The sequence below is a fragment of the Homo sapiens genome, chromosome X (assembly GCF_000001405.40).
Source record: "Homo sapiens chromosome X, GRCh38.p14 Primary Assembly".
Lineage (NCBI taxonomy): Eukaryota > Metazoa > Chordata > Mammalia > Primates > Hominidae > Homo > Homo sapiens.
The window spans coordinates 53,069,425-53,095,243 of NC_000023.11; the positions used below are offsets into that span (position 1 = coordinate 53,069,425).

The 25,819-nt window shown below is 49.2% G+C and overlaps 3 protein-coding genes across 16 annotated transcripts in view, besides 9 other annotated features; all 3 read left to right on the forward strand.

Annotated features, from left to right (window-relative positions):
* GPR173 (G protein-coupled receptor 173) overlaps nucleotides 1-11,191 on the forward strand; it is a 31,827-nt gene extending 20,636 nt beyond the window's left edge. Inside the window, exons 2-3 of one of the 2 annotated variants that reach the window (XM_047442184.1) lie at nucleotides 1,564-1,943; nucleotides 7,101-11,191. In XM_047442184.1, coding sequence (XP_047298140.1) covers nucleotides 7,198-8,319 — 1,122 coding nt within the window. In that variant the 5' untranslated portion in view covers nucleotides 1,564-1,943; nucleotides 7,101-7,197 and the 3' untranslated portion in view covers nucleotides 8,320-11,191. The remainder of the gene's footprint in view (nucleotides 1-1,563; nucleotides 1,944-7,100) is intronic. The other variant, NM_018969.6, reaches the window with a different exon arrangement.
* Nucleotides 2,061-2,562: an enhancer, noted in NCBI's record as "H3K4me1 hESC enhancer chrX:53100667-53101168 (GRCh37/hg19 assembly coordinates)". NCBI's record gives its function as "activates a minimal SCP1, AML or CMV promoter by ChIP-STARR-seq in primed H9 embryonic stem cells {active_cell/tissue: H9 hESC(primed)}" and the evidence as "EXISTENCE:reporter gene assay evidence [ECO:0000049][PMID:30033119]".
* Nucleotides 8,166-8,225: an enhancer, noted in NCBI's record as "active region_29651". NCBI's record gives its function as "activates an Ori minimal core promoter by ATAC-STARR-seq in GM12878 lymphoblastoid cells {active_cell/tissue: GM12878}" and the evidence as "EXISTENCE:reporter gene assay evidence [ECO:0000049][PMID:35858748]".
* Nucleotides 12,808-12,917: a silencer, noted in NCBI's record as "silent region_20852". NCBI's record gives its function as "represses an Ori minimal core promoter by ATAC-STARR-seq in GM12878 lymphoblastoid cells {active_cell/tissue: GM12878}" and the evidence as "EXISTENCE:reporter gene assay evidence [ECO:0000049][PMID:35858748]".
* TSPYL2 (TSPY like 2) lies at nucleotides 12,943-19,116 on the forward strand. Of its 5 annotated transcripts, NM_022117.4 has the most exons (7): nucleotides 12,943-13,881; nucleotides 15,121-15,198; nucleotides 15,331-15,442; nucleotides 15,530-15,675; nucleotides 15,803-15,897; nucleotides 16,207-16,886; nucleotides 18,352-19,116. In NM_022117.4, exons 1-7 carry the CDS (start codon nucleotides 13,075-13,077, stop codon nucleotides 18,513-18,515), a joined length of 2,082 nt encoding a protein of 693 aa, NP_071400.1. In that variant the 5' UTR covers nucleotides 12,943-13,074; the 3' UTR covers nucleotides 18,516-19,116. The 5 variants fall into 5 exon arrangements, with proteins under 5 accessions (NP_071400.1, XP_016885216.1, XP_006724655.1 ...); XM_017029727.2 differs by having other exon boundaries at nucleotides 15,121-15,442; XM_006724592.5 differs by lacking the exon at nucleotides 18,352-19,116 and having other exon boundaries at nucleotides 16,207-18,342.
* Nucleotides 13,188-13,237: a silencer, noted in NCBI's record as "silent region_20853". NCBI's record gives its function as "represses an Ori minimal core promoter by ATAC-STARR-seq in GM12878 lymphoblastoid cells {active_cell/tissue: GM12878}" and the evidence as "EXISTENCE:reporter gene assay evidence [ECO:0000049][PMID:35858748]".
* Nucleotides 13,268-13,317: a silencer, noted in NCBI's record as "silent region_20854". NCBI's record gives its function as "represses an Ori minimal core promoter by ATAC-STARR-seq in GM12878 lymphoblastoid cells {active_cell/tissue: GM12878}" and the evidence as "EXISTENCE:reporter gene assay evidence [ECO:0000049][PMID:35858748]".
* Nucleotides 23,810-24,634: an enhancer, noted in NCBI's record as "H3K27ac hESC enhancer chrX:53122416-53123240 (GRCh37/hg19 assembly coordinates)". NCBI's record gives its function as "activates a minimal SCP1, AML or CMV promoter by ChIP-STARR-seq in primed H9 embryonic stem cells {active_cell/tissue: H9 hESC(primed)}" and the evidence as "EXISTENCE:reporter gene assay evidence [ECO:0000049][PMID:30033119]".
* Nucleotides 24,347-24,406: an enhancer, noted in NCBI's record as "active region_29652". NCBI's record gives its function as "activates an Ori minimal core promoter by ATAC-STARR-seq in GM12878 lymphoblastoid cells {active_cell/tissue: GM12878}" and the evidence as "EXISTENCE:reporter gene assay evidence [ECO:0000049][PMID:35858748]".
* Nucleotides 24,717-24,836: an enhancer, noted in NCBI's record as "active region_29653". NCBI's record gives its function as "activates an Ori minimal core promoter by ATAC-STARR-seq in GM12878 lymphoblastoid cells {active_cell/tissue: GM12878}" and the evidence as "EXISTENCE:reporter gene assay evidence [ECO:0000049][PMID:35858748]".
* KANTR (KANTR integral membrane protein) overlaps nucleotides 24,718-25,819 on the forward strand; it is a 53,780-nt gene continuing 52,678 nt past the window's right edge. For 5 of the 9 annotated variants that reach the window (NR_145973.2, NR_110456.3, NM_001397450.1 and 2 more), the window contains exons 1-2: nucleotides 24,718-24,860; nucleotides 24,976-25,050. The gene's annotated coding sequence lies outside the window, so the exon portion shown is untranslated. The remainder of the gene's footprint in view (nucleotides 24,861-24,975; nucleotides 25,051-25,819) is intronic. The other 4 variants (NR_145974.2, NR_145975.2, NM_001397448.1 and 1 more) reach the window with 1 other exon arrangement.
* Nucleotides 24,897-25,046: a silencer, noted in NCBI's record as "silent region_20855". NCBI's record gives its function as "represses an Ori minimal core promoter by ATAC-STARR-seq in GM12878 lymphoblastoid cells {active_cell/tissue: GM12878}" and the evidence as "EXISTENCE:reporter gene assay evidence [ECO:0000049][PMID:35858748]".

A 25,819-nucleotide genomic window follows, 5' to 3' on the forward strand; every position in this document is an offset into this window, starting at 1 on the left:
TCTCTTTGCACATGGTTGCTCTGGAGCCATTCTTGCTCTAGCCCTCTGCTGTGGTAGGAGCCTACCAGCTGGGCAGCTCTGCTCGTTTGTCCACTTACAAGTGCAAGAGTTAGCTGGTCTCTGCACATGAGCAGGTTTGGCTCCAGCGGTATACCTGTTGCAGGATGTGTATGTCAGTTAAGTGTATCTGTGTGTGAGCAAGTTTATATGTGTACACATGTTTGCCCATGTGTACTTGTCTTTGTGTGTGTCTGTATATGTACAATATGCAATTTTTATCTTTGTGTTTGTTTGCGTATTGCTAAAGTGTATGAGTGTGCCTTTGTGTGTGTGTGTTGGAGCTGTTATAAGTCTGTTCATGGGTGGGAGTGTATATGTGAATGGGTGTGTGTGTGTACATATACCAGGATATACATATTTGTGTTGGTGAGCACACCTAATCTATGTGAGAGAGTTTGAATCTGTCTCTTTGTGTTAGAGCATGTGTGTGTATATGTGGGCAGTTTTTTACTTGCCTGCTTTTTTCTGGGTGCATATATATCTATAGGTCTCTGAGGGGGATTCTATGTACTATACCTGTGTGTGTATGTGTGTGTGTATACACACACATGGTAGGGTTCAAGTGCGTGTCAGCCTGCTGGCATATGTAAGTAACTTTGAGTGTTAATATCGTGACAGTGTTTATCTATGTGACAATATTAATATACAACTTTGTGTATATCTGTGTTGTGTCTGAATATGTGGGAGGATTTGAATCATCAGCTATATTGGGTCAATGAGTATATATATGTCTGTGTGAATGAAAGTATATGTGGGTAAGTTTGCTTGTGTGTACCTATCTGTCAGTGTTTGAGATCTCGTTCATCCATGTGTGTGTTAGGGGAGTTACAAAGGTGGTTTTGTGGACCATTGCATGTGTGTGAGTGTGTATCTGAGTGTGTCTGTGTATGTGAACAATTCTCAGCCCTCTCATATCCAGTGCCCTCTTGTACATAACAGATATTTTGTAACACCCCTTTACTGTCTGGAAATGAAGTTCTTAGGAATATAATCTCTCTGCATATGTAATTTTTTTTTGAGATGGAGTTTCACTCTTGTTACCCAGGCTGGAGTGCAATGGCACTATCTCGGCTCACTGCAACCTCCACCTTCTGGGTTCAAGTGATTCTCCTGCCTCAGCCTCCCGAGTAGCTGGGATTACAGGTTCGTGCCACCACGCCCAGCTAATTTTGTATTTTTAGTAGAGACAGAGTTTCACCATGTTGGCCAGGCTGGTCTCAAACCCCTGACCTCAGGCGATCCACCCGCCTCAGTCTTCCAAAGTGCTGGGATTACTGGTGTGAGCCACCACGCCTGGCCCTCTGCACATGTAATTTAAAAAGAAAATCCATATTTTATACAATATCCATTTTGTATTAACTATAATACAAATAAGAAATAAAAGAAAAATGATTTATAAGAAAACGATTTGTATTTCAATATGTAAATGCTTGGGCATGACACTCCCCAGGAGATTCAAGGAAGTGATTAGAGGCTCCCAATGTCTTTTTTTTTTTTTTTTAGATGGAGTTTCGCTCTTGTTGTCCAGGCTGGAGTGCAATGGCGCAATCTCAGCTCACCACAACCTCCACCTCCCGGGTTCAAGTGATTCTCCTGCCTCAGCCTCCCCAGTAGCTGGGATTACAGGCATGTGCCACCACGCCCTGTTAATTTTGTATTTTTTTATTTTTAGTGGAGACGGGGTTTCTCCATGTTGGTCAGGCTGGTCTCGAACTCCGTGCCTCAGGTGATCCGCCCACCTCCGCTTCTGAAAGTGCTGGGATTACAGGCGTGAGCCACTGTGCCCGGCCCCCAATGTCTTATACTGGGTAACTATGGATTTAGGAGAAGGGGAAACATCAGAGGCAGGACGTGCAGGAAAATGACAGGCACAGGCCTTGGAGGTGAGATTTTCTAAAATAGTCAACAACTCTAAGGAAAGCTCATCCCAAACCAAAGTGCAGCCTCCTCTTTACTTACATGACAGCCACGTTCCTGGATAATTCGGGGTATGTTAAAATCAAGAGAAAAAAAATGGTGTTTATCTGTGAAATAGATTCTAAGTTCACTTACTTAAAAGTCCAAAGTCCTAGAGGATGCGGGACATGTTGGCTGCGTGGGACTCTCCCCCATATTACTGGATGGCCAACATCCTCCCCGACTCCTAAATGTCAGAAGGACACCCTACACCCCAGCACTGTGGCCATCAAAAATGCTCCTACACAAATTTCCAAAATGTCCCCTAGAGGGCAGTAACGCCTTTGTTGAGGACGAAGCGCTGGCGCTCGGAGAGGGTACACTGTGTACCTGTGTGAACACGGCAGAGTACAAGATGTACCTCTGCCTCCGTGTGCGTGTGTGCATATGTGTGTGAGTGCGTGTGCGTATGTGTGAGTGTGTGTGTGTATGTGTGTTGCATGCGTGCGCACGCGTTCCTCATGCAAGAGCGGGTTGCTGTCTGAGGGTGTCCACAGCAGTAGACCGTTTATGGGGGGATGGGGTGTGCACGTGTCTGGGCTCGAGCAGGTGTGCGTGTGTTCTGTGTTTGCACGCGTCTTGAGCCTCAGCTGGGCCCGGGCTGCAGCTGCCAGTCTGCGGAGGAAAACCCTCTCCTCACTTGTTTGTAAAATGTCCCGAGCTTTCCCAGGGTTGTGTTTGTTTGCTGCTATTGTTTGGGGGGGATGTGGGGGGTTTTGTTTTATCTTTAGCTTTTGTTTTCACTGAGACTCAGGGCTACGCATTATCCACCTTCTCGGTCTTAGCGTGGCTCTCCGTGTCTCCCTCTCTATCTCCATCTTTATTTCTGTCTCTCTCTCTATCTCTCTCCAGCTACCCTCTCTTATCTCTGCCCCACCCCACCCCGTCTCTATTTTTCTTTCTTTCCTGGCGTTAGCCCTCTCCCTCTCCCTGCTCTCCTTTTCTCTCTCTTGCTCTCTCTCTCTCTCTCTCTCTCTATTTCTCTCCCTTCTCTGTCTGGCATGCTGGTTTCTGTGTGTGCCTCTGTCTCTTTTTTCTCACTCTCATTTTCACCCTTCTTCCCCTTTTTGTCTCTCTCTTCCTCTCTGTATGTAAGGATCTCTCTCCCCTTTCTCTGTTTCTCTCTCTGTCTCTTTCTCCCTCCTGTGTCTCCGTCTGTCTCTGTCACACACACCTCTCTCTCCTTCTCTCTCTCTGTGTCTCTCTGGCCTCTCTCTTACATTCAGTCTCTGTCTGTCTCTATCCCTTTCCCTCTGCCTCCCCTCAAGGTAAAGGAGAGAGAAAGAGAAAGAGAGAGAGAGAAAGAGAGTAAGTGTGTGTGTGTTTACATTCACCCAGCTGCGGGCTGTTCCACAGTCTGAGGGGGCTGTCAGGCCTTGAAGGGCTGAAAGGGAGCCCACCAACCCCATTTCTGCTCAGCCCCTGCCCTAGCACTTTCTAAGTACTAGTTTGGCCTCCTGTCATGGGCTCTGAGATTTCAGGGTGCCATTAAAAAGCCTGGCTCGGGCGCAGTGGCTCATACCTGTAATCCCAACAATTTGGGAGGCCAAGGCGGGCGAATCATTTGAGGTTACAAGTTGGAGACCAGCCTGGCTAGCATCACAAAACCCTGTCTCTACTAAAAATACAAAAATTAGCCGGGTGTGGTGGTGCGTGTGCTTGTAATTCCGGCTACTCGGGAGGCTGAGGCACAAGAATCACTTGAATCCGGTAGCCGGAGGTTGCAGTGAGCTGAGATTCTGCCACTGCACTCCAGCCTGGGCAACAGAGGGAGACTGTCTAAAAAAAAAAAAAAAAGGCCGGGCACCAGGTGGCTGTGGCAGGCCAGGCTGGATTGAGCTGGAAAACCATGCAGAGGGGAGACTTTTCCTGGGAGGGAGGGAGTAGGAAGACATCCACTCAAGTTCCACCCCCTAATCCCAGCCCAGCCCCAACAATCATCCTGAGTTTCCCCAGTTTCTGCCCAATTGCCTCACTGCCTTCCCTCTGGGACCTGTGCTGTTACCTGGTCACATCCCCACACTCCCGGAGCTCTCCTCTTTCCTGCAGCTTTGCTGCGCTGCTCTCACCACCAGATGTACCCCCCAGGCTGCTGTTGTAGCTAATCCTGCCTGGATGTCTCCAGGGCACCCTCTCTGACCCACAGCCCCAGCCCATTTAATCCCTCAATCAATTCATTTGATATATTGTCACTGAGAGCCTACCATGATGTGCTATGTAGTGTTCTTTCAGAGGAGAGTCAGTGAGTCTTTAACTCCTGCCTTTGTGGAGCTTTCATTCTGACAGGACAAGGCAGGCAATAAACTAAAATTTAAAAGTAAATTATATATATAAAATTATATATATATAATTTTTATATATTTAAAAAATTTTATATATATAAAAAAGTTTGTATATATAATTTTATATATATAAATTTATATATTTTATATATAATTATATATATATTTATATTTATTTATATATATATAAATATATATTTATATATAAATATAAATATATATTTATGTATATTTATATATAAATATATATTTATATTTATATATAAATATACATAAATATATATTATACATAAATATATATTTATATATAAATATATAAATATAAATATATATTTATAAATATATAAATATACATGTATATTTATTTATATATAAATATATAAATATACATTTATATAAATATATATAAATATACATGTATATTTATTCATATAGAAATATATATAAATATACATGTATATTTATTCATATAGAAATATATATAAATATACATTTATATTTATTCATATAGAAATATATATAAATATACATTTATATTTATTCATATATAAATATACATTTACATATAAATATATATAAATATACATTCATATATATTTATATATAAATGTATATTTATATATATTTATATATATTTATATTTATTTATAAATAAATATATAAATATATATAAATATATATTTATATTTATATATAAATAACTATATAGATTTATATATATTTATTTATAAATAACTATAAATATAGATTTATATATATTTATTTATAAATAACTATAAATATAGATTTATATATATTTATTTATAAATAACTATAAATATAGATTTATATATATTTATTTATAAATAACTATAAATATAGATTTATATATATTTATTTATAAATAACTATAAATATAGATTTATATATATTTATTTATAAATAACTATAAATATAGATTTATATATATTTATTTATAAATATTATAAATAAATATATAAATATATATTTATATTTATTTATTTGTATTTATATATAAATATAATTATATATAAATATATATAATTTATATATAAATTTTTATATTATAAAATTATATATATATAAATATATAGTGTGTTAGAAGAGAGAAATTCTAGGAGGCAAAATAGGGAGAGTGGCATGGAGGGGGCATTATCTGTCACCTGGATTGCTGCAGGGGCCTCTGAGTAGTCTCCCTACTTTTAATACACCCCACATGACCCCTGCTCTTCACAACGGCAAGCGGGATTCTGTTCCATCCTAGATCATACCACATCTGGCCTCTGCTCAGAATCCTCCCGTGACTCCCATCTCATTCAGAGGAAAAAGTTCTCGCCACGGCCTCCCTGATCTGACCTCACCACCTTTCTGACCTCACCTGCCACCACATTCCCCTGACTCACTGTGTTCCACCCACAGTGGCTTCCTTGCTCTTCCTCAAATATGCCATGTAGAGTCCCACCTCAGGGCCTTTGCTCTGGCCGTTCCCCCTGCCTGGACTTCTCTTCCCCGAGATATCCGCATGACTCACTCTCTCACCTCCCTTAGGTCTGTGCTCAGATGACACTTCCTCCGTGAAGCCTCCCCTGTCCACCTCATCTAAAACTGCAGCATCTTCCCCACCCCTAGCACTTCCTATCTTCCTTCCCTCCTTTATGTTTATTCTTAGGAACTTGTCATCATCTGACATACTATACTTCACCCGTGTCTCTTCTTTGTTATCTAGAATGTCGGTTCCACAAGGGCCGGGATCTTTATCTGTGTAGTTCACAGCTGTATCCCCAATACCTAGAACAGTGCCTGGCACACAGATGCTTGATAAATATTTTTTCAGTGTATGAATGAATATGCACAAGCATCCCTACATGTTTATATTCACACATACTTGCCTCCTCACCTAAAATAAAAACCAAAGTCCTCATCGTGGCCCACAACCCTACACAATCTGGCCCCAAGGCATCTCTGCGACTTCACCTTCCACCACTGTCTCCCTTGCTCTCACCGTTCCTGCCTCACTCGTCTTCCTGCTGTTCCTCAAGCACACTAAACACATTCCTCATCATGAATAAAGAAATCTATTAAGTGAGTGGTACCAGCATTTTAAGAACACATGAAAGAGAATAAAAATGAATGGGGTACATTGCATACAGGTTCAGTACTGTTTTGTGAAACTTTTGGTTGAGCTGTGTGTGTGCGTGCATGTATGTGTAGCGGGTTGTGATGTAAAATGTATTTTTTTACTGTGGGTGGCAGTAAAAAAAAGTCTGAACACAACCTTAGAGCTTTGCAAAAGGGGAGAAGAGCTGCACCAACATCCCTGCCCCACAGATCCACCAGTGGAGGAAACAGGTAACCAAAGACATCCAAAGAAATGCAGCATCCTCACCTGACAAGGAGCGGGTAGGAGCAGGAGTGGCCCAGGGGCAGGGCCTGGCACCAGCCAGGGCATAATTGGGGAGGGCTCGTAGACACACTAACCCTACCCTTTCTGTTTCTTCCTCATCTTTCCTTTCCATCTGTTTCTCATGGTCTCCTGTCTGTCTCTCTCTCTCTCCCCTCTTTCTCTCTCCTCGCTCTTTCTCATCCCCTCCATTTCTGTGTCAATCTCAATCCATTTATATCGGTGGCCACTTTTCTATCTCTTTGTTCTATCTCTCTCTCTCTCTCTTTCCCACTTTGTCTCTGCACGCCTGTTGTGTTTTTCTGCCTGTCTCTCTCTTGCCCTCATCTCTCTGTCTCTCTCTTGCCCTCATCTCTCTGTCTCTCTGTGTCTGTGTCTCCCCCGCTCATTCCCATTTGCAGGTGCAATGTAGCAGGACAACTCATGGAGCCCCCCCGGGCCCATCGAGTACCGGACTGGCTGACCCCCTAGGGTTGGCAGTAGCCCCTGACCCTCAGTATGGCCAACACTACCGGAGAGCCTGAGGAGGTGAGCGGCGCTCTGTCCCCACCGTCCGCATCAGCTTATGTGAAGCTGGTACTGCTGGGACTGATTATGTGCGTGAGCCTGGCGGGTAACGCCATCTTGTCCCTGCTGGTGCTCAAGGAGCGTGCCCTGCACAAGGCTCCTTACTACTTCCTGCTGGACCTGTGCCTGGCCGATGGCATACGCTCTGCCGTCTGCTTCCCCTTTGTGCTGGCTTCTGTGCGCCACGGCTCTTCATGGACCTTCAGTGCACTCAGCTGCAAGATTGTGGCCTTTATGGCCGTGCTCTTTTGCTTCCATGCGGCCTTCATGCTGTTCTGCATCAGCGTCACCCGCTACATGGCCATCGCCCACCACCGCTTCTACGCCAAGCGCATGACACTCTGGACATGCGCGGCTGTCATCTGCATGGCCTGGACCCTGTCTGTGGCCATGGCCTTCCCACCTGTCTTTGACGTGGGCACCTACAAGTTTATTCGGGAGGAGGACCAGTGCATCTTTGAGCATCGCTACTTCAAGGCCAATGACACGCTGGGCTTCATGCTTATGTTGGCTGTGCTCATGGCAGCTACCCATGCTGTCTACGGCAAGCTGCTCCTCTTCGAGTATCGTCACCGCAAGATGAAGCCAGTGCAGATGGTGCCAGCCATCAGCCAGAACTGGACATTCCATGGTCCCGGGGCCACCGGCCAGGCTGCTGCCAACTGGATCGCCGGCTTTGGCCGTGGGCCCATGCCACCAACCCTGCTGGGTATCCGGCAGAATGGGCATGCAGCCAGCCGGCGGCTACTGGGCATGGACGAGGTCAAGGGTGAAAAGCAGCTGGGCCGCATGTTCTACGCGATCACACTGCTCTTTCTGCTCCTCTGGTCACCCTACATCGTGGCCTGCTACTGGCGAGTGTTTGTGAAAGCCTGTGCTGTGCCCCACCGCTACCTGGCCACTGCTGTTTGGATGAGCTTCGCCCAGGCTGCCGTCAACCCAATTGTCTGCTTCCTGCTCAACAAGGACCTCAAGAAGTGCCTGAGGACTCACGCCCCCTGCTGGGGCACAGGAGGTGCCCCGGCTCCCAGAGAACCCTACTGTGTCATGTGAAGCAGGCTGGTAGGCAGACAGGCAGAGAGAAGGTCATGGCCACCGTGATGGGGCCAACAGCAAGGGAGGGGTAGGGGCCCATACAGGAGTCCTCCTTTCTGAGCTCCAGCCCCAGCCCCTCGAACCACCTGTAATCTAGGCACCTTTGCCAACACCTCCCAAGGATGGAGGACTGGGCGAGGGACTGGGAAAGAGGCATATTTAGTTTTGTGGGGCCTGTCTCCGCTGCCTCCTTCTCCACTTCTACAATCTCATTCTCTCTCTCTCTCTCTCTGTCTCTCTCTCTCTCTCTCTCTCTCTCTCAGAAGTGACAATTCAGAAAAAGAAAAGAACACTGAGAATGCAGGTTTTTCTACTAACAGCTGAGGAGACAGGCTTTCTTACTTTAATGTCTCTCCTTCTGACACTGTCCAGAAGGGGGAATTTGTCCTGTAAAATAGACTTCCAGAGCTCTTTTGCCCCCTCTGCTCCCATGCACCCTCCCCTTCCAAGTCCTTTAGCAAGGCCTGGATGTTTAGGGAGAAAGTGGTCCAAGGCTGCTGACAAGAGGGACCAAAGGGGGTGCTGGGTTCCCAGGGAGCAGGGATGTTTAATTACTATGTCATGTGCAATGTTGTTTTAGGCCAACCCTTGCCCCAAGCCCAGTCTCTTCTCCCTCCCCACCATGTCCAGACCTCCCAAATGGTTCTTGTGCATCTGTTGGAGAAGTCAAGGGAGTAGGGAGAAGGGCCCCAAGGATGGGCCCAGGTTAGGTGAAGAGTAAGATGTGAGCTGAACTCCTCGAACTGAAGAGACCCACACTTGGTCACATTCTCTCACGCTGCCTTCAGGATCCCCAGCCCCCAACTCTTCTTCCTGAGGATGGAAATCCACTCCAGCCCCACTAGGACTGATGTGGGTGCCATACAGGCAGGAGCAGCCCACCAGGAAAGTGTAAGGAGGGAGCTGAACTCCCCAGAGTAGCTGGACCACAGAGACTTGGGTCAGAGCTGATTTCAACCCCAGAATTGTCTCTCGGGTTCACCCTACTCTTCTGAAGATGAAAATTTGTTTGGGGCCTTGGTAACCGATAGCGGTACAAACTCCAAGGCACTGTGGACTTGAGTCCATTCCTATCTGACCTCTTTTTGTCCCCCTCAAGCCTCAGGGGCCTCAAGCCCCTCCTTAGTAGCCCTTGGCTGACTGGGCCCTGAGCCCCAAGCATCCTTCTTTCCCAACAACCCTCCTTCCCCATCCTTCCCCCACCCTTACCTACACCCAAAGTGGAGCACACTGCAGTCAGATTCTCCAGGAGGGAGATCCAAGCCTCCTCCCAGGGGTGGAGTCCACTCTGGGCTTACTTTGAGGCCTGTTCTGTGGATTGGTGAGCCAAGCTGGCACTCCTTGCCCTGGTCTTACCCAGGCTCTCTGTCCCCCTCTCACTTCCTGTGGGGCCGGAATCTGTATTTATCCATCCCCCTTTCCCTTCTTTATAGAAGTCCCTGTCCTAAACTCCCTCCCTAGCCCAAGAGAGCCCCAGAACTGGGGAAGCCTGACCCATACAGAATGGGGAGGGCACTCTAGGCAGGAGAGACATTAATGAGCCTGGCTGCAGAGTGGCCCTGGAAAGGCAGGCCAGAGTGGCTGAGAGGCTGGGAGTAGGGGAGCCTGTTCTCTCAGCGATAGTGATGGGGGTGCCTTTCCGAGGGGGTGGGGTGGGAAGACCAAGGGGGTGGGGGGTAGATAGGGTACATTTAGGAGGGTTTTCCTCCATTTCTTTTTTCTAACTGCCTGGATTCACCATTGGATTTTGTAAATGGAAAAACTGAAATGAACAATGCTATACTGGATGTTTTCTCTTTCTGACTGTGTGTGTGTGTGTGCGTGCGTGCGTGCATGTGCCCTGTCTGACCACATGTGGAGAGACATGATTGAGTGATAGTGTGTGTCTGTGTGACTTTGTGTGGGGAGGCACTCCTGAAGAAAACTTGCCCGGTGCACACACGTAAAATGCCTGTATATGGGGACAGATACAGCACGTGCATGCATACACACACACACACACACACCACAGTTGAGAGGAGACAAACTAGAGTATGTGCCCGTGGTAGGAAGTCGAGTGGTCAAGAGATGGATCTTGGAAACTACATAGGTCGGTAGCAAGAGGGTAGACTCCCATCTCACAAGATGGGCCTCCCTTGGCCCAGGCCCTGAGCACGGGAGGGCTGGGGCCGCCAGGGAACTTGAAAACCTCATCTCCTCACAAAGCCTGTAGCCCCATCTCAACCCCGTCTCAGTCTCCTTCCCAAACTCAAACAAGGTGTTCCTAAAATTGGACCACCATGGAGAATGGGGACTGGGAATTGAGGATCAAATGTGAGGGAAACTGATGAGGTTAGGAAATGCCCCCCACAAAGTAATGGCTTCTGGAGGGACTGCTCAGTCTGGGATGGGAGCCCTTCCTAGGGGCCACTGTATGCAGCTGGGACTTTGGTCAGCTTTGACCAAATTTAGAGGGAGGGATGTCATGGGGAAAAAAAACCCAAGCCCAGGAGTCTACCCAGCCAGCCTGCTCCCTAGACAGTTAATTTACTATCTGGTTATTCTCTCAGGTGCACAGAATTGAGTTGACCATACTCCTCAGTTCTTGGCACACTATATCATCATTGGTCCATGTGAGGCCCTTTTATTTTTTTTTCTTCAGTTTTGTCCCCTTCATCACCCATTCCTGATCCCATCCTCCCCGCCCCCTACACAGGCACCCACTCTCGTGTATTTAACGTACGTCCTTCCAATCCACCGTTCATGTGTTTATTTACATATATGTGTATCTGTGAAAAATGTATGGTATTGCTGTGTGTTTTAATTTACATAAACAGTATTGTACTATAAATCTTGTTGTTTCTTTTTTCACTCAACATTCTGTCTTTGAGAGATCCAGCCATGTTGCCGTATATAGATCTAATTCATTCTAGTGGTCCATCTAAAACATATATCACATTTTTCTTATCCACTCCCCTGATGATGGATCCCTAGGTCTCCTCTCTGCTCCGCGACAAGGCTGCAATGGGCAGTTACCTACACCTCTCTTGAGGGATGCCTAATTTAGGGGAGAGAAAACTGAAGCTCAGAGAGGGGCAGTGATTTGGTTAAGGTTACAAAATGAGGGGCACACCCATGATGTGAATCCCAGCACCAAAGCCAGCCCTCCACCACCATGCCTCACAAAAGACCATCCATCTCTGGTTTAAAAAGAAAAATCTTAAAATACAGCATACACTGGGGAAAGGGAGAGGAAAGGATGGAAAGGGGGAGAAATGAAGAGACAGAAAGTGCTAGAAAATTCTAGCAGATGAGCTGAATCACAATCATTTTTATGACGCAGAGGAAGTTACTTTTTTGTGTGTGTGATTATTATTTGTAGAGCCATTTTGCGGAGATGGAAAACGCCACGTCAAAACCTGGCCCCCAAACCAAACACCCTGGGTGCCTAAATTGCAGGCGCAGGCGGTAGGGCAGCCCGAGCCCCCGAGGAGCTACAGCAGAGTTCACCCAGGGGGCAAACGTGGGGGGTGGGGGAAGGGGCAGAAGTGGAAGGTAGGAAAAGAGGCAGAAGCGGGGGGGCGGGGGGCAGGGGTTGTGTGAGGGAAGGGGCAGAAGTTGGGGGATAGGGGAAGGGCAGAAGCGGAGGGCGGGAGGGTGAGGGAAGGGGCAGAAGTGGGGTTGGGGGGTGAAGGAAGGGGCAGAAGTTGGGGGATAGGGGAAGGGGCAGAAGTGGGGGTGAGGGAAGAGACAGTTGGGGGATGGGGGTCAGAAGCAGGGAATGCGGGAAGGGGCAGAAGGGGGGGTGAGGGAAGGGGCAGAAGCGGGGGAGGAAGGGGCAGAAGCGGGGGGTGAAGGGGCAGAAGCGGGGGTGGGGTGGGGGAAGGGGCCGAAGCGGGGGATGGGGGAAGGGGCAGAAACGGGGGGTGGGGGAAGGGACAGAAACGGGGAGTGGAGGAAGGGGCAGAAGCGGGGATGGAAAAAGGGGCAGCAGTGGGGGATGGGAGAAGGGGCAGAAGCGGGGGTGGGAGAAGGGGCAGGAGCTGGGATGGGGGAAGGGGCAGGACCCGGGATGGGGGAAGGGGCAGAAGCGGGGGTGGGGGAAGGAGCTGAAGGAAATGGGGGAAGGGGCAGATTTTAAAAGTGCGTAGTTGCTGAGGGGAGGGGGGCGGGGGGAACGATAACGAGGCTCTTCCAATTTCATGTGAGCACATCCTGCTCAGCGCCTGCGTTTGTTTTTCGTCTCGTTTTTTGGTCTTCAGAACCACTGGTACTTTTCCCATTGGATAAAACGCTGAGAGGGTGAGGGAGAGGGGCTTCTTCCCCAGCTTTCCTCGCAGCCAATCGCCCTGCAGTTTCCCTCCCGTCGCTGAGGGAGTCAGCCCGTTGATTGGCGGGCCCGAGGGGAGCCAATCGGAAACTGATGATGTGTGGTGTTGGCAAGCGGATTGCGTGAGAGCGGGCAGGGGTCGCGGGAGCGCGATCGCCGCCGCGGCGGCCGGCAGCCAATGGCCAGGCCGAGCGGACCCCTGCGTCAGGAGTGGGCGGGGCTTCGGCGATTGGCGCGGAGGGAGTAGAGCGGGCGCTGTGGGAGGGAACGCCAGAGCGAGGTGGTGAGGAGAGCTGGTTGCGTGAGTCTCCTCAGCTCTGCTTACCGGTGCGACTAGCGGCAGCGACGCGGCTAAAAGCGAAGGGGCGAGTGCGAGTCCCCTGAGCTGTACGAACGCGGTCGCCATGGACCGCCCAGATGAGGGGCCTCCGGCCAAGACCCGCCGCCTGAGCAGCTCCGAGTCTCCACAGCGCGACCCGCCCCCGCCGCCGCCGCCGCCGCCGCTCCTCCGACTGCCGCTGCCTCCACCCCAGCAGCGCCCGAGGCTCCAGGAGGAAACGGAGGCGGCACAGGTGCTGGCCGATATGAGGGGGGTGGGACTGGGCCCCGCGCTGCCCCCGCCGCCTCCCTATGTCATTCTCGAGGAGGGGGGGATCCGCGCATACTTCACGCTCGGTGCTGAGTGTCCCGGCTGGGATTCTACCATCGAGTCGGGGTATGGGGAGGCGCCCCCGCCCACGGAGAGCCTGGAAGCACTCCCCACTCCTGAGGCCTCGGGGGGGAGCCTGGAAATCGATTTTCAGGTTGTACAGTCGAGCAGTTTTGGTGGAGAGGGGGCCCTAGAAACCTGTAGCGCAGTGGGGTGGGCGCCCCAGAGGTTAGTTGACCCGAAGAGCAAGGAAGAGGCGATCATCATAGTGGAGGATGAGGATGAGGATGAGCGGGAGAGTATGAGGAGCAGCAGGAGGCGGCGGCGGCGGCGGAGGAGGAAGCAGAGGAAGGTGAAGAGGGAAAGCAGAGAGAGAAATGCCGAGAGGATGGAGAGCATCCTGCAGGCACTGGAGGATATTCAGCTGGATCTGGAGGCAGTGAACATCAAGGCAGGCAAAGCCTTCCTGCGTCTCAAGCGCAAGTTCATCCAGATGCGAAGACCCTTCCTGGAGCGCAGAGACCTCATCATCCAGCATATCCCAGGCTTCTGGGTCAAAGCAGTATCCTTCTAATCGATACTCCGTAGGTCAGAAGCCCGTGACAGGAAAGGGGAAGGTGGGGGAGGGACAGAAAAGGTAAAGCGGGTGGAGGAGAGCCAGAGGTGGGCATGATCCCCCTATCGGAAGACGGACTAGACTGGGTGGAAGAGGGATGGAAGGAGGAGGGCAAAACAGCAGAGAAGCTGGACTGGAGATGATGAAGGGTGGTGGAGGGGGGGCGGACATAAAAACTGGACCACAGATGGGAAAGGGGGAAGAGGAGGAACATAGCATTAAAAAAAGGATCACAGATGATAAAAAGGGGGAGGGTAGTAAAGGGGCACACAGCAAAAAAATTGGACCAGAGATGGTGAAAGGAGGAGGGGAGGGGCACGTAGAAGATGAACTGACTCAGAGACCTTGAAGAGGGAGGGGAATGGCACACAGCAGAGAAACTGCCCAGAAAGGGTGCTTGAGCCATACAAGGCTCTGTAAACCTAGATTTTTGCTTAAGATACTAGGAGACCCCAATCCTGGCTGGAGTGCCTTGCATTGGAGGGAGGGGGGCTGGAGCCCCTGAAAGATCAAGAGAGGGAGTGTCTAGGTATAGAGAAAAAGGAGTTAAATGAAGGAAAGGGGAGAGTAGACACATACACATACATGTAACATGTTAGGAACATGAGTCGAACATCCTAATAGAATTATGTGGATACAGACCCTTAGCCCTCATATGAAACAGCACATGGTAAGAGGCCCTTAGCACCCAGGCATACAATATCATTTAGACATAGGACCTCAGCTCCTAGACACAGTATTATGTGACCACAGGTCCTCAGCATGTAGACACATGGCATAACTTGACCACAAGCCATCAGAGCCATTCACACATCATGTGGACATGGACCTTCAACACCCATACATACAATAACGTGACCACAGGCCCTCAGCAATCAGTTACAGCATCACTTGGACATGGCCCTTAAGCCCCCAGACGTGCATTTTGTGAACACAAGCTTTCAGCACCCAGTGACATATACCACATGCACATGGATTGTCGACACCCTGTAGGGCCACCTAACATAGAGGTTTATCATGGGAATAAGTATGGGTTATGTCCCATGACTCACTTGCTTTATACACACCACATAAGCACAGAAGGAATCCTCATGCTCCAGCCTCTCTTACTGTGCCCTTCCTGGCCTTCCCTCCCTCCCTTTCACGGAATAGTCAATCCTTGACCTAAACTGCTCCACTCATCAGTTCCTCAACCACCCCAGAATTTCAATTTTGATCAACCGACGTGATGAAGACATTTTCCGCTACTTGACCAATCTGCAGGTCAGGCCAGAGAGACATTTTTTAGTAGGATCGGGCACGAATCTGGTTCTTGGAGGTGACGGGAGGTGGGTGGGAAGGGCCGTGGTGTGTTGGGGGGGGGACAGATTCCACCATCACCCCCACCTGGAGCAGGTACAGGATCTCAGACATATCTCCATGGGCTACAAAATGAAGCTGTACTTCCAGACTAACCCCTACTTCACAAACATGGTGATTGTCAAGGAGTTCCAGCGCAACCGCTCAGGTAAGTGGCAGTACCAGAGTAAATCCATGTTCCCCCCCTCAATCTGTCCTTGTTTTGTCCCATCTCCATAGCCTTCTCTCTCCCTAGGCCGGCTGGTGTCTCACTCAACCCCAATCCGCTGGCACCGGGGCCAGGAACCCCAGGCCCGTCGTCACGGGAACCAGGATGCGAGCCACAGCTTTTTCAGCTGGTTCTCAAACCATAGCCTCCCAGAGGCTGACAGGATTGCTGAGGTGGGGCCCTTCCTGGCATCACCAGAGAAGGCCTTGCTAGGCTTGTTCCTGGGTGCGTGGGGAATTAAGAGGAGGATCTGGAGCTTGTACTAATGGCTGTCTTATTCCTTCTCCCCTTTTTCAACAGATTATCAAGAATGATCTGTGGGTTAACCCTCTACGCTACTACCTGAGAGAAAGGGGCTCCAGGATAAAGAGAAAGAAGCAAGAAATGAAGAAACGGTAATGGGAGTTTGGTCGCTGAGAGGTGGTTTGTTGGGGATGGGGAAAAGACTAGTGTAACACAGGATTTATGGAGCCAAAAAGGGACCTTTGAGATAATCCCAGTGGAATATGTTTTACAAGTGGGAAATCATGCCCAGAAATGGCTTGAGGTTACACAGTCAGGGGCAGAAGTGGGACTTTACCCACCCTAGCCCCATTCCTGGGATCCCTTATAGCCTACTGCTTCCCCAGTTACTTCCCACCTTTGAGTGCTATGAGTACACCACCTCCCACCAACCCTATACTCAGCCACAGCCTTCCTTACAGTAAAACCAGGGGCAGATGTGAGGTGGTGATCATGGAAGACGCCCCTGACTATTATGCAGTGGAAGACATTTTCAGCGAGATCTCAGACATTGATGAGACAATTCATGACATCAAGATCTCTGACTTCATGGAGACCACCGACTACTTCGAGACCACTGACAATGAGATAACTGACATCAATGAGAACATCTGCGACAGCGAGAATCCTGACCACAATGAGGTCCCCAACAACGAGACCACTGATAACAACGAGAGTGCTGATGACCACGAAACCACTGACAACAATGAGAGTGCAGATGACAACAACGAGAATCCTGAAGACAATAACAAGAACACTGATGACAACGAAGAGAACCCTAACAACAACGAGAACACTTACGGCAACAACTTCTTCAAAGGTGGCTTCTGGGGCAGCCATGGCAACAACCAGGACAGCAGCGACAGTGACAATGAAGCAGATGAGGCCAGTGATGATGAAGATAATGATGGCAACGAAGGTGACAATGAGGGCAGTGATGATGATGGCAATGAAGGTGACAATGAAGGCAGCGATGATGACGACAGAGACATTGAGTACTATGAGAAAGTTATTGAAGACTTTGACAAGGATCAGGCTGACTACGAGGACGTGATAGAGATCATCTCAGACGAATCAGTGGAAGAAGAGGGCATTGAGGAAGGTGAGCTAATCCCCCCCCACCCTTGTCTTCCCTCTTTTCTTTTCTCAGAGCAAGCCTGGCCAAGGACAGGGTATCAAGGCATGAACACAATCTGCTTTTATGGAGGAAAGAAAAAGCATTCTGAGCAACTTTTTAAACAAAGGAAGTCCAGTGAACATTTAACTTAAAAATGTAACAAAACCCCAAAAAATCATTTTAGTTCTAGGTGATGGATAGATGGTTGTAACAGCAGAAGATGAAGAGTACACAGAGATAGGAGACAGTGGGTGGAAAACTGAAAAGGACACTTCACATCGAGGTGGGGGAGTGGCAAAACACAGTGCATTTCAGCACAGTCTGTACCCGGCCTTGGCCTTTGGCGCATTTCCAGGCTTGTGTTGGGAGCAGAGCATGAAGTGAACAGTGTGCTCTCTGAGTCCAGAAAAGGGTGCAGCCAGTTCTACCTCAAGAATCGGGGTGGGGGGGGTGGCGGGGGAAGAGCTAGAGGAAAAAGGTGACATTTGAACTGGAGGATGCATTCACACTGAGGAGCTTTATGGAGCATTCTCCGTGGAGTGGATCATCTGAACAAGGACCTGGAAGGGTGAAAATGCATCGTAGGTTGGGCAGGGTTTCCAAAATTATGTCCTGAGGATCACTCACCAGATCTGAAAGCTGCTTCCCACAAAAGGTTTCAGTGGTCGTATATGTTGGACAAGTACTGCATATAGTAATACCCTCTTGTAGAGTCACATTAGCACCTTAAAGGCTCTGAGAATAACACGAGAATTATAAAGGTGCTGAGAAGTACTCAGATGGGAGGTGGAAGGGGCAGGAAAATCAACTACTCTTCGGGTTTTTTTGGCTATGGGGTCCCTGGCAAACTTCCATTGAGGGCAAGGCCAGGGCACTAAGGGAAGAGGAATGAATGTGGAGCCTCAATCTAGACATGTTCAGGTAGGAGAGAGAAACAGGGATTCTCAGTTCTCTTCCCCTCCCACCTGATGGCATCTCTTTTCTCAGAAGGGGAGGCAGAGCTATCTGCCCAGCCCTGAGGGTGGGAGTGGGGGTGGGGAATTGGGTTGCAGAACACAAACTAGGGCCTCTTTGGATCAGACTGGGGGAGAAAGCGAGGAAGCTGCCTGGAGATGAATAGGTTTATTCAGCTGAGGTCAGAGCTCAGGAAGAGACACACATTGAGGAGTACAAGGGGGAGAAAAAGCTACTATCAGAGATGTATCAGTTTTGACAGAGGCAGGGATCCCACACTGCCTTCCTGCCTCCCTCCATCTCCCTCTCATTCTGTGGGCTTGCTTGAGTACACCCACACACACTCTTGGCTGTTTGTTCCAAGCAGAGGCGCTGACAAGTTGTCCCAGGCCGCTAAAAACCCTGGCTATGGTCTCTGTTCCCTTTTAGAGTGACACCTATCTGCTCATCTAACTGCCTTCCTCCATTTCCCCTTCCTTGCTTCTCCCCTATGCAGGCATCCAGCAAGATGAGGACATCTATGAGGAAGGAAACTATGAGGAGGAAGGAAGTGAAGATGTCTGGGAAGAAGGGGAAGATTCGGACGACTCTGACCTAGAGGATGTGCTTCAGGTCCCAAACGGTTGGGCCAATCCGGGGAAGAGGGGGAAAACCGGATAAGGGTTTTCCCCTTTTGGGGATCACCTCTCTGTATCCCCCACCCACTATCCCATTTGCCCTCCTCCTCAGCTAGGGCCACGCGGCCCCACATTGCACTTCTGGGGGGTGACCGACTTCGTACACGGGTTTAAAGTTTATTTTTATGGTTTAGTCATTGCAGAGTTCTTATTTTGGGGGGAGGGAAAGGGGGCTAGTCCCCTTCTTTTGGCCCTCCGCCCCCGCAGGCTTCTGTGTGCTGCTAACTGTATTTATTGTGATGCCTTGGTCAGGGCCCCTCTACCCACTTCTCCCAGTCAGTTGTGGCCCCAGCCCCTCTCCCTGTGCTGTGTGGAGTGGACACCCTGACCCCCGAAGCGGGGAGGGCCGCTGTGGCCTTCGTCACAGCCGCGCAGTGCCCATGGAGGCGCTGCTGCCACCTTCCTCTCCCAAGTTCTTTCTCCATCCCTCTCCTCTTCCCGCCGCGCCGCTAGCCCGCCTCGGTGTCTATGCAAGGCCGCTTCGCCATTGCGGTATTCTTTGCGGTATTCTTGTCCCCGTCCCCCAGAAGGCTCGCCTCTCCCCGTGGACCCTGTTAATCCCAATAAAATTCTGAGCAAGTTCAGAGTGCCGCTTCGAGTCTTTTGTTTAGCCTGGTGCCCCGGCCCCAGCGGTCAGTTTCCCCCAGGCCCACACGTAGCCGCCTGGCCTACGCAGTATCCTGCAACATGCTAGTTGCGGGGGTTTGGCGGGTGGGGGGCGAGCTCCGCCAGGCCGCAGAGGCGTTGCGTCAGACCAATGCGGATCATCCTGGCCAATGGCAGTGCGAGGCTGAGGAAGCCCCTCCTTCTCCTGGCGCCCGCAGCGGACCCAGCCAGGTAGCGAAGGGCTTCCCACGCCTTCCCCTCTGGCGCATGCGTGTAGAGACATCCTGCGTCCTAGAACATCCATTTATCAGTGATTCATCTTTTAATTTATAGTGCGTCAAACCTTTCCTCGGGCCTAGAGTGAGCGGGGCGTGGGGAGCCAAAGGAATTCATTTTCCTCATTCGCATTTAGTAAAAATAAAACACGACTTCGGTCCGGATATCACAACCCAATTATGCAGGAGCGCTCTCTTGCCTTTGGGAAGGGGTGCAGAGTCCCTAGAGCTGGGCTTGGGGGAGAAGGCAGAAAAGATAGCTCAAGCAGAGAAGTATCCGTAGAGATAAAGGAAAAACAAAGGGGAATTAACTATGTAACTGTGCGAAGGGGTGGAAACGTAGGGAGTTGGACATCTGAAAAACAGGCTTTATCCGGGAGACCTTGGAAAGGCTGAGTTATATTAAATTTAGATACATAAATTTTATCTCGGTGGGCGCCAGGAATATTTCCCAGATTTGTTCTGGATCACAATAACTTTTATTCAGACATCCGAGTCGGTCTTTTATAACATATCTCCCGAACTTTCCATCCAACGCCTTTATTTTGCTGGAAGGCTTCAGATATGGTTAGATTTGCGTTTTAGAGAATGCCCTCTGCTGGCTGCCAGGAGAACTGACTGGAAGGAAGGACAGCAGTAAGGAAATAGACGCTAGACCTCAGGTGGGATTGGCAAGATGGGGGCGGATATGAGAGGTTTTTAAAATAAACTTAATTTCAGAACAGTTTTAAATTTACAGAATTATTGTGAAGATAACAGAGAAGTCCCGTATGTCCCACAGCCAGTTTTCCTTATTAACAGTTTACATTTCTGTGATACATTCGTCACAATTAATGAACCAATATCAGTACATTATTATTAACTAAGGTCCATACTTTATTCCAGTTTCCTTAGTTTTAACTTAATGTCCTTTTTCTGTTCCAGGATTCCATCCAGAATAGCACACTACATTTAGTCATCTTGTGTCCTTAAGCTCCTCTTGGCTATGACACTCTCTCAGGCTTTCCTTGTTTTTGATGACCTGGAGTCATTTGAGGAGTACTGGTCAGATATTTTATAGAATGTCCCTTAATCAGGATTTGTCTGATGTTTTCTCTCATGATTAAACTGAGGATATGAGTTTGGGGAAGGAAGACCACAGAAGACAAATGTCATTCTCACTAGATCATATCAAGGGCATGTACTATCAATGTGATTTATCACTGTTGATGTTAACTTTGATCACCTGGCTGAGGTAGTGTCTGTCAGGTTTCTCCACTGTAAAGCTACTCCTCTTTCTCTTTTTCCATGCTGTACTCTTTGGAAGGAAGCCAAGTAAGCGCAGCCCGTGCTTAGGGAATGAGGAGTTATGCTCCATTTCCTTGAGAGGGAAGTATGTACATAAATTAATTGGAATTCTTCTGCAAGAGCAATTTGTCTATTCTATGAGAGCTTTTAAGATGTTGGACTCCACAGGCTTTAGATATGGAAGGAGAGGGATTCAGAGGAGTCAAGATGACTGCCAGGTTGGTGTGAGACCTTTGGCAAGGCCCCTTCCCTCTCTGGGCCTCCTCTGTGAGATGGTTGGAATACCAGATCCTTGACATGTCTCTCCAATGATTCTGATAAATGTTTTGGGGGGGACAGGATGGAGGCTTTGATGTGCTGTCAGAGGTGGGCAGGGAGGACTGAGGCCCAGAAAGGGGAATGTCTTGCCCAAAGTAACACAATACCTCGAGGCCAGAGCTGAGAGTGCAGGATCCCAGAGAAAAGAGACATCTACATGCAATATCTGGAGCCAACCCCAATGAGTATGCGGTGAAGAGGAGGGGAGGGGAAAGCAGCAGGGGCAAAGGCAATGGAGTAGGCCGGAGTAGGCCAGAAAGAGGTCAGCCTGCCAAAGGATCCCAGCCAATCAGAGCCAGAGTAGCCAGTCTGGTTACTCTTGCCTCAGTCTGCCCTACCTCACAACATGACTCTCCTTGTCCTCTCTAGAGGGCCTCAGTTTTCCTATCTATAAACTGAGGCTTATCGTGCAGGGGGATCAGTCCAGGAGAAGCAACCTGCCTAAGGTCTCAAGACAGAGTCTAGCCTTGAAGCAGGTCTCTGAAGTCTGGCCTTCACTGTGCTCTTCCCTGATTCCTCTCTGTCCCCCCAATCAAATCCCCAGCCCCTCATCCTGGCATTTGAGACTCTTCTTCACCCACCCTGTTAGAGAGGGCCTCTGGTCTTCATCTTCAGTGATGCTCTTAAGAGTCAATCATAGTATTCTAGTATAGTTGGCCAGGGTGCTCATGTCCTCGGCTGAGCCATGTGAGGACAGGATGTTCTTTGCCCAGAGTAACATCTTGTTCCCTGTGCCCTCACTCTTCAGTCTGGACCTCCGAAAGAGAGGGCTGTTCTAGGTCTTTAAGGTCACATCTAGCTCCAAGATACTGTCTTCGCTGAAGGCCAGAGAAGACAGGCCCCATTGGCTGAGACCTTAAACAGAAACCAGGAGGATGAAGAGTCATGGGCCCAATGTGCCCTAGGGCCTGTTCCCATGTTGAAACTACTTGTCTTCATATGCTTCCTAGCTTGCCCTCGCTCCTTTGCAGCAGAGGGCCCTGCTCCTGGGTGGGAGGTTCCTGGGATTTCCTGGGACCAGACCTTTAAAGTGCCACCTACTTCTGTGAGTAGAATCGGATTGGCAGGGACAAAACTAGATTCAAGAATGTCCCTCCTTAGGTGACCCAAAGGGCTGGCACTGGCTCCCCCAGTTGGGGGTGTGCAGGATGGTTGGGAAGGAATCCTATTATTCATTCAGTAAACACTTATGAGTACTTACTGTGTGCCTGAAGTACTGAACTGGGTGATAGGGATACAGCAGGGAAACAAGATAGAGCAAGTCTTTTTTTTTTTTTCTTTGTTGCCCAGCCTGGAGTGCAGTGGCACAATCTCCGCTCACTGCAAGCTCCGCCTGCCGGGTTCACGCCATTCTCCTGCCTCAGCCTCCCGAGTAGCTGGGACTACAGGCGCCTGCCACCACGCCCGGCTAATTTTTTGTATTTTTAATAGAGACGGGGTTTCACCATGTTAGCCAGGATGGTCTCGATCTCCTGACCTCATGATCAGCCCGCCTCGGCCTCCCAAAGTCCTGGGATTACAGGCGTGAGCCACCGCACCCAGCCAATAGAGCAAGTCTTTTTCCTCCTGGAGCCTAGAGTTCAAGACAAATATTCTTAATATTTTTTGTGCCATGGACCCCTTTGGTGATCTAGTGAAGCCTAATGGGACCTTTCTTTTTCTTTTCTTTTCTTTTTTTTTTTTTTTTTTAGATGGAGTCTCACTCTTGTTGCTCAGGCTGGAGTGCAATGGTGCGATCTCGGCTCACTGCAACCTCCACCTCCTGGGTTCAAGCAATTCTCCTGCCTCAGCCTCCCGAGTAGCTGGGATTACAGGCGCCCGCCACCACGCCCGGCTAATTTTTGTATTTTTAGTAGAGACAGGGTTTCACCATGTTGGCCAGGCTGGTCGGGAACTCCTGACCTCAGGTGATTCACCCGCCTCCGACCTCCCAAAGTTCTGGGATTACAGGCATGAGCCACCATGCCCCACCAGACCTTTTCTCAGAAAAAAAAAATTGTTTAAATTCATAAAATAAAATATCTAGAATTACAAAAGAAATTGATTACATTGAAATATAGTTATTAAAATATGGAAAAAGCAAATATGTGCTATAGTATAATCGTATATGTACTCCCCATTAATCCATTAAATCATAAGATTTAATGGAGGGTCTAATGACTATCATGATTTTAAAATAATGATTGAAATTATATGATTTTCAAGAGATCTGCAACATCTATAATGTGATATGAAAATCTCTGATTTCTATTAGTGACAATCAGTACTGCTACTACTGCTGCTACTATGCCTAGTTACATTCTTTATTGAAAAATGCTAAATTTCAGTTAGAGGAGAGGGAAAATAAAGATGTAATTTTGTTTTATTTTTTTGAGACGGAGTTTCAATCTTGTTGCCCAGGCTGGAGTGCAATGGTACGATCTCAGCTCACGGCAACCTTCGCCTCCCAGGTTCAAGCGATTCTCCTGCCTCAGCCTCCCTAGTAGCTGGGATTACAGGCATGTGCCACCACGCCCGGCTAATTTTGTATTTTTAGTAGAGATGGGGTTTCTCCATGTTGGTCAGGCTGGTCTCGAACTCCGACCTCAGGTGATCCGCCCGCCTCGGCCTCCCAAAGTGCTGGGATTACAGGCATGAGTCACTGCGCCCGGCCATAAAGGTGTAAATTTGTTCCCATCCAAATTCATGGACCTCTCCAAACCCTGTCCCCAGCCTCGATTAGAGGTCTGCAGAATACAAATTAAGAACCCTTGCAAATAGGAGGGTCCTTCCCATCTCTCCTTCCTTCTTAAACAGTTTTCCTTTGGAAGCCTGGGTTTTATTCTGGGTCTTACTGCGCCGACTGCCGGCGGTGTACGGTAAGAAGACGCAAAGACGGGGCGGTGGTGGGGAGTGGTAGCGGGAAGAGGCAGGGCCGGAGCGCGCGAGGGGTGGGGCCTGGCTGTGTGACTTCAAGCCAGTCAGTTTGCCTCTCTGGGCCATAAGTTCTGTCCGCCTGAATACTGGGAAAGAATTGGGAGGAGAGAACTTAATTATTTATGCCCCAGGCAACTGATCTATATTTGCCCTCTCATTTAATCCTCACACATTGTGAGGAAAATTTTAAAACATCTTTCCATTTCCAGATGGTTAAACTGAGGCTCCTAGCGAGGTTGTCACTTGACCAATGTCTCAGCAGGTATCAGGGACTGGTAGGTGACACGCCACATCCCCATAGCCACCTCATCCTCCATGCATGGAATAAGGAACTCTGCTCACTTTGAGCGAGAGAAACCTGGCTTAGGAATCTCTGCAGGTGGGTGTGGAACTGTGAGAAACTAGGGGCAGAATCGCGTCTCTTAGCAGAGCGGTGGCAGTGCAAGGTGGCTTATGGAGAGTAAAACGTCAAAGAAGCCAGGCATCTCGATTGTGCAGTGACTCGGCGCCTGGCGTGGCTTCCGGCTTCCCGCCTGCGTATTCCCAAGTAGCCGCCTGAAGACCTGTCGAATAGACAGGCAAAGGGCCATGACAAGCACTCCTTTCCTGGCCAATCCTATTAAAGGGTGGGCTTGGCTCTTTAACCAATCAAAGTCCCCCGAAGGGGCGGAGTTTTCCTCGGTTTGGCTCTAAGCCTCGGGGGTAAAAATAAAATGTTTCCATCCCCAGCCAATCCCTGGAAAGGCAGAAGGGCACTCCTCCAATGGGAGCCGGGGAGCCGTCGGTAGCGGCGTAGGCCCGTGCCCCTGCTCGCGCTGCAGCCCGTGGAAGGGTTCCGTCCAGCGTATCCTTCAGATCTTGCTGTAGGCCTCTGGTGTCTGTGCGCGCGCGGCAGGGGCGGCGGCGGCGACGGCCGGAGGTGTACGGTGAGAAGCCATAAAGACGGGGCGGTGGGGGGAGTGGCAGCGGGAAGAGGCCGGCCGAAGCGCGCGAGGGGTGGGGCCTGCGCGAGCTTTTACTGGGGCGGCCTCTCAACCCTAGGTCAGCGGGTTGCGGAGGATCGTGCGGGTCGCAAAGGGAAGCCGAGTGCTCCTGCGGCTCCCAGACTGCAACCAGGTGAGTACCCTGCGGAGCGGTCGGTGCCCGTTGCTGCCCTCCCGCGGCCCCACCTCCCACCCTCAGTGTCTTTCGAAACGGTTCCATGCAGGTCTGCCGCTCACGTGATCGTCTGCGTGCGTGTCTGTCTTTGCATCCCCTCTCCCATCTCTGTCTCTGTCCCACTTTTTGAGACGTAGTAGATATAAGATGCTGAATCCTGACCAGTTTAAACTAGCTATGAAACCTTGAGCTATCTCCTTCACCAGCCTGGGCCTCAGTTTCCTCATCTGCCAAATGGGGGTCTGATAATGTGTACCTGAGACAATGCATGTGCATTACTTTGCCCTGCACCCGGTCCTTAGAAAATTTTCAATAAATAATGACTATCTTGACTGAAAAGAATATTGTCTCTCTTGGTTTCTGTCTTTTCTCTGTCTCTGACCCTTCCTCCATTGGATCTTTCTGAATGCTTCTGTCTTTCTCTGTTACTGTTTTTCCTCTTTTTACCCGTCTCTTTCTCAACCCTAAAGAGGTTAGAGGTGCATAGTTTATAGCAATAAGTTTTACCCCCGAGGACATGAGCTTAGCCTGGGGCTCCGACCTGTTCTGTGGGTAAAAAATGGAGCCTGGCTTTGGGTTGCTTCTGGTGTCATTGAAGAGAGAACTCTCTTTGCTCCCCAGCCTACTCTGTTAAACAGGTAGAGACACCCAAAGTTGGGAGCAACTTAGATTAAAAACCACTTTTTAATAGCCCCTTATCCTATATAATGTTAGTCACCACAGGAAG

Bases quoted from the DNA above. Each gene is read 5' to 3' on its own strand.
- TSPYL2 (XM_017029726.2), top strand. From the start codon at position 13,075: ATGGACCGCCCAGATGAGGGGCCTCCGGCCAAGACCCGCCGCCTGAGC. The intron at 13,882-15,120 runs GTATCCTTCTAA...TCCACTCATCAG, and splicing joins CAGGCTTCTGGGTCAAAGCA to TTCCTCAACCACCCCAGAAT. The intron at 15,676-15,802 runs GTGGGGCCCTTC...CTTTTTCAACAG, and splicing joins AGGCTGACAGGATTGCTGAG to ATTATCAAGAATGATCTGTG.